Here is a 9,066-nt window from a genome sequence, read left to right on the forward strand (position 1 = left end):
CAATATCTGTCTCTTTTTTTTTTTTCCTTGAGACTGGGCCTCGGTCTGTCCCAGGCTAGAGTGCAGTGGTGTGATCTCATGGCTCACTGCAGCTTTGACCTCCCAGGCTCAAGTGATTCTCCTGCCTCAGCCCGTCAAGTCGCTGGAGCTACAGGCACATGCCACCACGCCTGGCTAATTTTTGTATTTTTTGTAGAGACGGGGTTTCACCATCTTGCCCAGGCTGGTCTTGAACTCCTGAGCTCAAGCTGTCTGCTTGGCTTGGCCTCCCAAAGTGCTGAGATTATAGGTGTGAGCCACCACTCCCACCCCAGTATCTGTCTTTTAATTGCTGTTTAGACCAGGGACCAACAGACTTTTTAAATAAAGGACCAAATGGTACATGGTTACAGGTCATGCTTGTATGTCATGCAGACATTCAACTATGCTGTAACATGAAAGCTGCTGTACAGTATGCAAATGAACCAGTATGTCTGTATTCCAAGAACACTTTATAAAAATAGGCATGGGCCAGATATGGCTCCAGGACTCTAGTTTCCTAACCTTGGCTTAGTGTAATATGATCACTGCTGTCATTGAATTAAAATCTGTTATCCTTCTGGTTGTTTTGTATTCTATCTGTTCTTTGTTTTTCCATCTTTTTCTGCCTTCCTTTGAATTAATATGTTTTGTGATTCCACTTTATTTCCACTATTGGTTTATTATTTGTACCTCTTAAGTTTTACTTGTTACCTTAGGTTTACAATCTGCATCTTTAATTAACATGTCTGCATTCAAATAATATTATATTACTTCACATGTAGTTTAAGAGCCTTAGAACAGTGTACTCCCAATTCTTGCCTTCCATTCTTTGTGCTGTTATCATATAATTTTATGTTATTTTCTCTTTAAGCCCCACTAATGTTTATACTTTAAATGATTCTGTAACCACCCTCACTGTTAAGATTTTTCTAGGTTTGTGACAGTAAGTTACAAGATTCATAAATTTGCACTGTTTTACAGGTGGAGAATTAGGAATATAGAGACAATAAGAAAAAAGCGTTAGCCTGACAAAGTCAGAGTGCTAGAAGAGAGCTTTCAATAGCTACAGATAACATTTCCTCTCATTCTTACCACTCAGTGTTTTTCTTTAGTCATTACCTTAATTATAACTCTTACTTTATAAGAAAAAAAACTAAAAAGAAAAAAACACTTTTATTTTAAAATTTACATTTTTCTTCATGCACTATATAATAAACACGGGAGTCAAATATTCTTTTTTTTTTCTGTCTGACAGACTGAAGATTGTCATCCAGTTTTTACATTCTTGATTCTGGGGTGTGTATTTCAGCTTTGAGTGTTTCAAGCAACAGATTTGTTGATAATTTATGATTCTTTATAATTTCTAGGTGCATACATAAAATCAGTCATGTTTTAGTATGCATTTCAAAGACATAAAGCTTTATTTTTTTCTTAAGAAATACGGAGTGTAATATGTTTACTATAATTAGCTGATTTTCTTTCAAGAAAGTTTGTGGGGCTTTTTTTTTTTTTATAGTATTTGTGTGGAAGTAATCGAAAAGACAACATATTTATTGATCCTGGATACCAAACATTTGAGCAAGAATTGAATAAAATACTGCGAAGCTGGCAACCAAGCATACTTCCAGATGGTAATGCTATTTTCACTAAAGGTGTTGCTCTCTTGATATTAGGATTGTTATTTTTACAGAGTATGTTTGAAAATATTATAATTAAGTCACTTAAATTAGATAACATTTTCTGAACACTTACTCGAGCTCATCTGCCTTTCATCTCTTGTTGAATTAGAAACAAATGTGGTCAATAACTAGTGTTTATGAAGAACTTTGTAAGAAATGTAATCTACTTTCTCTGGAGTACGAGACTGGATGTTCATGTCTTAAGCCTTCCAGTGGAGCTTCTGATGTAAATTTCTCTTAAACCACTGTTTTCAGTCCGTGAAGAAAATGTGTATGTATGTGGAGTCATCAATTTTTTTCAGGAATTTAAATTCCTGAATTTTAATTTTAAAAGGATTTACACTGTTTTCTGACCACTGTTTGCTTGTCCTACTGAAGAACAGAAGCAAACATCCAGTCCCTTATTCCATAGATAATAGTTCCATAGTAGCCTCTGTATTGTTAAAGAGCTGCATAGGTAATTCTAGAATTATTCTAGTTGATCTAATATGAAAGGAGAATTGGTATAGATTTGTCCTTAAATTAACTGTGTCTGCTTCTAGATGGTTAAATGAAAACTTTTATTTATTATAATTCTTTTAAAATAGTTCTCTCTATTTAAGGGTCAATATTCTCTCGAGTTGAAGAAGACTATCTCTGGAGGATAAAACAACTAGGATCACACTCTCCAGTAGCTCTTCTGAATACACTGTTCTACTTTAACACTAAGTATTTTGGCCTGAAAACAGTGGAACAACACTTAAGACTTTCCTTTGGCACTGTGTTTAGGCATTGGAAAAAAAATCCTTTAACGATGGAAAACAAAGCGTGTCTTCGATACCAAGTGTCTTCCTTGTGTGGAACAGATAATGAAGGTAGTGTAACAGATTTCTATTTTTATTTTTATTTTTAAATTTTTTTTGAGACAGAGTTTCACTCTTGTTGCCCAGGCTGGAGTGCAGTGGTGCAGTCTCGGCTCACCGCAACCTCTACCTCCTGGGTTCAAGCAATTCTCCTCCCTCAGCCTCCTGAGTGGCTGGGATTACAGGCAGGCGCCACCATGCCTGGCTAACTTTGTATTTTTAGTAGAGACAGGGTTTCTCCATGTTGGTGAGGCTGGTCTCGAACTCCCGACCTCAGGTGATCTGCCCACCTCAGCCTCCCAAAGTGCTGGGATTACAGGCGTGAGCCACCACGCATGGCCCAGATTTCTATTTTGGGATTGTCTATGGTAGGGATATCCAAACCTTGCCTTACTAAAGACCACCTGGGTCACTTGTTAAGAACCTAAGGACTGTCAGTTTTATAAAATAAGACAACCTATGTCTTAAGATGTCTCAGTTCCTTTTGTTTGAAAAATTGTACATTACCAGAAGCCATAACTTAAAACTCCAAGGGGCACCTGGTCCTATTCTTTGGTATAACAGACACTAGGAGTGATGTTTATATCTTTCTTCAAGATTAGTTTAGGAGGTTTATTTCACTTTTATTTTTTAAGATAAAATTACTACTGGAAAAAGAAAACATGAAGATGATGAGCCAGTATTTGAACAAATTGAAAACACAGCCAATCCTTCCAGATGTCCTGTGAAAATGTTTGAATGCTACTTGTCTAAAAGGTGAGTGTTAATGATACTTAACTTTTAAAAATGTTGGTAGAAGTTGGCTGGTTTAAATTTAACATTACCAAGAAGTGACTTTTTTAGATGGATTCTTTCTCAGATTTCTTCTCTCTCAGTTATACCCAAGTTCATTCAGTTATAATCTTTTATTTTGAAATACCCAGTTTATACATCATACTTAGAGTTTAAGCATGTGTTAAGAAATCTCTCTCTACTAATGAAATTTCTACTGCTGTCATTTTCTTTTGGAGATGGGGTCTTGCTCTCTCACCGAGGCTGGAGTACAGTGGCACGTGATCATAGCTCATTGCAACCTCAAACTCCTGGGCTTAAGCCATCCTCCCACCCTCTGCCTCCTGAGTTGCTGGGACTGCAGGCATGTGCCTCCATAGCTGGCTAATTTTTGTATTTTTTGTAGAGACAGGATCTCACTGTGTTGCCCAGGCTGGTCTTGAACTCCTGACCTCAAGCCATCCTCGTGCCTCAGCCTCCCAAAGTGCTGGAATTACAGGCATGAGCCATTGCGCCTGTCATTGTCTTTTAAATTACAGCAATTCCAATGACAGCAAAGCAAGGGACACAAACTTTTTCTTAAACGGTCAGATGGTAAATATTTTAGGCTTTTGGGCCTATGGAATCACTATTGTAACTAATCGGTTCTCTTGTGACTAGAAAGCAGCCATATACTATATATAAATTCATGGCATGTGGCTGTGTTATAATAAAACTTCACATAAGCAGGTGGCTGGCTGTAGTTTGCCAATGCCCGGTGTAAAGGTATGCTCAAAGGTAGTATAGATAGGTGGAAATGTAAGTGAAGTATTTACATTTAAGAGAAAACAGTCAAGCAGGTATGAAAAATGGAATCATGTTCTGGAATTTTTTTTCCCCTCAATCTCAGACCAACAGGCATTTTAAAAAGTTTAAGCCAATAAAACGTTTAGAGACCATAGATTATTTTATGCTTGCCTGTTGTTTTAAGTAAGCACTCTCTAATTTTCAGAAGGTCAGCATGAATTCAAAATGTACTTCCCTGTTTAAACAAATTTATAAATCACAGGTCCCCAGGATGGCCCTCAAGGACTTGTAAAAACAATAGTATCATGTATAGGATGATATTAGTACAAGTTGAATGCGCCTTATCCAAAATGCTTCTGACCAGAAGTGTTTTAGATTTCAGATTTTTTCGGATTTTGGAATATTTGCATATACATTATAAGATGTCTTAGGGCTGGGACCCAACTCTAAACATGAAATTCATTTATATTTCATATACACCTTATACATGTAGCCTGAAGATAATTTTATTTATGCATAGCCTGAAGGTGATTTTATTTTCCCCTTGGGGTTGCTGAATAACCTGTGTGTTATGTGCCTGTGTTTTGGGCGCGAACTCCTCACATGAGGTCAGGTGTGGAACTTTCCACTTTTGGTGTCATTTTGGCAAAGAGTTTCAGATTTTGGATTTTTGAATTAGGGATGCTCAGCCTGTATTTCTCACCATGGTTTAGGGTGGTCCTATTTGGCTGCAGTAGTGTCAGGGTCTTCAGTTGGTAGTAACTATTTGTTAGTAGGAAATTCCTATCTCACTATTACCTTGTTGGTATTTTAAAAATTGAGTTTCTATTATGTAGTGCTGTAAGAATTTTTTAATTTTATGTGCTGCCATACATATTTCATCAATTCTAAGACATTTTCACATTTCACTATTTCTGAAACTGGGATGCACAGTTTAAATTGTTGCATCTTGAAATCATAATTGGCAGTGTTTCACTTGCTTAATGGTAGCATTAAAATAATGAGTGGTGTGTCTATTGATAGTGTCTTGGATTTAGTGAAGTAGAATTAAAATTGTGGGAAATAATCTCTATCTCAGAAAATAACTTTGAGAATATTTTAATGACAGAATAATGGAGACAGTGGGGCATAGGGGGTCTGGTCATATAACGTGATTAATGGGGTCTGAATTATTCTTGAAAAAAGAAAAAGTTGTGGAAATTTTGTGAAATTGACTTTTTCTCTTTTTCCTCCCGCCTCCAAAGTCCACAGAATCTTAATCAGAGGATGGATGTTTTTTATTTGCAACCAGAATGCTCTAGTTCTACAGATAGCCCTGTCTGGTATACGTCTACTTCACTGGACCGAAACACCTTGGAAAATATGCTTGTACGGGTTCTTCTAGTAAAAGATATTTATGATAAAGACAATTATGAACTGGATGAAGACACAGACTAAAAAGGAACGTTGCAGAAGCAATCGGGATAAAACAGCATTAGATAGTCATGCTGCTAGATCTTTATTATGGAAAACATTTCAAGTTTACTCCTTCTGTTTTGAGTTTTGTAGCAGTGTACCCACGCTGGGTATTACCATGTAAATAATCTGTGAGTGAAAGTTGCCATTATTCTATGTAGTGGTTTTAGGATACTTAACAAATACATTCAAATTCTTTTTTTATTATTATTTATTTGATTAGGTATGTTTGTAACTTTTTACATTACAGAATATGAATGAGAATGTGCCATGTATAATTTTTTTCTTGTAGTAAGAAACATCCATATTGCACAACTCTACTGTTGCAAAGCTTCCTTGGAAGGGGGCTCTTTTACTGGGTTCTTAACCAGATGGTTGTGTATGGGTAGCACTACTAAAAGTTTAGAACTTGCAGTGTCTTTCGGAATTTTTAAAATAAACTGTAAACTAATAGGCTGGGGTTTTTGTTTTGTTTTGGGGTTTTGTTTTGTTTGGTTTTACATTTTAGTTACTGAAGCCTTACAAGGTTATGTAGAGAGATACCATCTTCTGTACCAAAAATAGACAAGAGAATGCTGTCAATATTGGTGTACTGTAATGTGAATCTATGCTGGTGAAAACAATTTTTTGTTCCCCTTATTAAAACCTTAGTGTCCTTTTCTCATTTGTGGCTTTCTGCATCACCCAATCAATAAAAAACAAATATATATATGTATATATATGTATGTATGTGTGTGTGTATATATATATATATATATATATATATAAATGATTGTAAGTTGAAAACAAGATCATCAAGACATTTCCTTTGTAAAAATGTCTGGTGAAAGTATAAAATTCTGTTTTCTTCTATGCCAGCCATAAGTATCTGAAATCCTCTTCATTTATAGAGGTTTGATTTTTATTTCTTTTTTTCCCTCTTAAGGATACAGATCATGCTGCAATGTTAGCTGTGTAGTACTCTAAAACTTAGCAATTTTATCAGAATTCTTGTGCCTGTTTACATTGGATAAAATTGTTTTTAGAAATTCCACTCCTGAAATAGTTACAGAAAGTCAAGCTATGTTAAATAAGATAGGATCACATTTTATAATGAAGATTACCAGTGTAGTAATTCTGATATTGCAAATGATTGAGGAACAAACAAAGAAACTAATAGAGAAAGTCAGTCTCAGAGGAAATCCCATTTAATGTTAGATTGTTTGGCTTTTGAAATTACTTCTTATAGAAGATTGCATTAAAAAAAAAAACAACTTTGTGCTTCTGCATAGCAATTTATCCATTCAGACCTTTTCTTTTAGAATAAGGAAACTTAAAATCTACTTTCTAAAGACTGAACAAAGTGCTAGCTGCAAATTATCTTGAAATCATTTGGCTCTTTTCTAGCATGTGTGTAATCATGTTTTCTTCTGATTCCTGAATGACCATGGTAGCATTAGTGTTTAGAAATTGTTCAGGGGAAAATTGAGCTATTTTCCATAGTGGCTAGCAATTGCTACACATCCTTAGATACTCCTCTCTCCCATAGGATAAATGTTACAGCACACAAAAGAAATTTTCTCAATTCTGATTTGGAAAATTTCACAGGTGTCATTATTGTATATCTAAGCAATAATTATCTGAATGTTTTGGCATAAAAAATTATAATGTTCTAACTTGTTTTATAAGTTGAATGACTTTTCAGTCCCTTGATTTTATATTGTTGAGTGATAATCAGACTGATAGTAGCAAATCTGATCATACATTACTAAAATAGATTGCTGATTGTCTATTTAACGAAGACAAGTGGGTAACATTTAAAATATATAATACAAAAATTTTCTCTAACTTACCTTTTTCCAGAACTACTTCTTTAAGCACTTTTCCTATTAATGCCTATTGTTGATTAAAAGGTGGTTAATTCTAACCATCTTTTAGTCTTCAAAGTGGTGCTATATTCCATCAAGAGCAATAAAGTTTTTCCCAGGTGTCACTTATTGTATATGTTACCAAATACCATGAATTTCTGCCATAGTACTACTATCAAGCACCTTGTCTTGCTATTTACAGTTTCTTCATTTGTATATTTTTAGCTTTTCTAAGTGGAAATGTCTACATAATTTTGATCTTGACATGATTGAGGATTTAGAGCTCTTGTCTTTGTCTTGATTGCAATCCAACGATAGATTAACTTGATTCTCAGGGGGAAAAGAAAAACTTATTTTATGAGAATTGTTTGTTCTGTGAAACTCACTTCACCTAGAACACATTTCATTGATTCTTGGATCTTAGTTTATGTGGTCATAGTTGACTGCTGAGAAAAGGACAATGAAATGATAGCAATTTCCTTTTGCTTCTAGGTGATCTCTGATTATAGATAGCATCCTGTAAATATAACTTTATTGTCTTGAAATGTTTATTGAAGATGCTATATTTTTCTGTTCTGTTTTCTGAAGATTTTGCCATTTAAAATGATCCAGTGAAAAATATTTATCCACATTGAAGAAAGTGGATTTCCCATGCAAATTGAATCTTCATTAACACATTTTAAAAGGCTTTACTGTATTAGGTAACATAGATATTAAAGGATTTTTCTAGGCAAGAAGCTCAACTTTTTTTTTCCATAAAAATAATTTTTGCTTAAATAGTAACTCATGGTTTTCTTTTATTAAATGGGGTTGTTGTCAGTATGTTAAACATTGAAGTAGGAGGAGGATGCATATTGTACTATGCATTCAAATTTATCACTGTTTTTTCTGACAGACTTTCCCTTTGTCCTTTCTAGTTATGACTTGGGAATGGGGTAACTTCTTTATGCATAGTATTAAGGGTTATAGTATGAAGAAATCATAAAATTGCAAGTTTTGGTTTGCATTACTCTAATGTGGGTTCATTTAATCTGAGATCTTAAATATCTTGCAGCCTTAAATCACTACAAACATTTGCATTTTTATTATGCCAGTTATTTCCAAAATGTATTGTTATACATGTCACTTATGTTTTTAAGCTAATATTGACTGTAGGATAATCTCCTTGTTCCCCTCAAAATAGTCATGAAAGTGTACATGAAAATATTTTTAAAGAATAAATTTCTTTAAATTACATACTTTTGGATTTCCCCCTTAATAAGCCCCTTACTCATGTTTAGAGAAGATTTTGAATTTCATTTATTCCATTCTACTGTGTTCTGAGGATTATATCAATTTAGAAGTTGATGTCCAGAACAGGTTATCTGTATCAGTTCTGAGAATAGAAACAACCTACAGTGCTGTCCCAATTTGTACTTTTTTTTCTTTACTCGGAAGTTAGATGTCAGAGGGACACCTCAAATAAGTGACTGTGATCCCCTGCCTTGTAATGAAGTGGAAAAGAGAGGGTCCCTAAAAATCTGGGCAAGTGGTGTCCTAATTAGTTACTGAGTTAAAACAAGTTCATGAATTTAGGCCTTTTGGGAAAGAAAGAGAATGTAAGATTTAACCTGTAAATGTTAAGAATAGAACCAAAGAGAGGGCCACAGACCATTAGTTGTTAAG

The 9,066-nt window shown here is 34.6% G+C and overlaps 1 protein-coding gene across 32 annotated transcripts in view; it reads left to right on the forward strand.

Annotated features, from left to right (window-relative positions):
* Positions 1-8,637, forward strand: part of ZMYM2 (zinc finger MYM-type containing 2) — a 225,276-nt gene extending 216,639 nt beyond the window's left edge. For 31 of the 32 annotated variants that reach the window (NR_148365.2, XM_047430584.1, XM_047430585.1 and 28 more), the window contains 4 exons: positions 1,538-1,652; positions 2,303-2,554; positions 3,178-3,298; positions 5,344-8,637. Coding sequence is in view for 31 of the 32 variants with exons in the window: in XM_047430584.1 (XP_047286540.1) it covers positions 1,538-1,652; positions 2,303-2,554; positions 3,178-3,298; positions 5,344-5,536 (681 nt within the window). In the remaining variant the exon portion in view is untranslated. Of the gene's footprint in view, positions 1-1,537; positions 1,659-2,302; positions 2,555-3,177; positions 3,299-5,343 lie in introns of those variants that run through there. The other variant, XM_047430599.1, reaches the window with a different exon arrangement.

This window comes from Homo sapiens, chromosome 13 (assembly GCF_000001405.40).
Source record: "Homo sapiens chromosome 13, GRCh38.p14 Primary Assembly".
Lineage (NCBI taxonomy): Eukaryota > Metazoa > Chordata > Mammalia > Primates > Hominidae > Homo > Homo sapiens.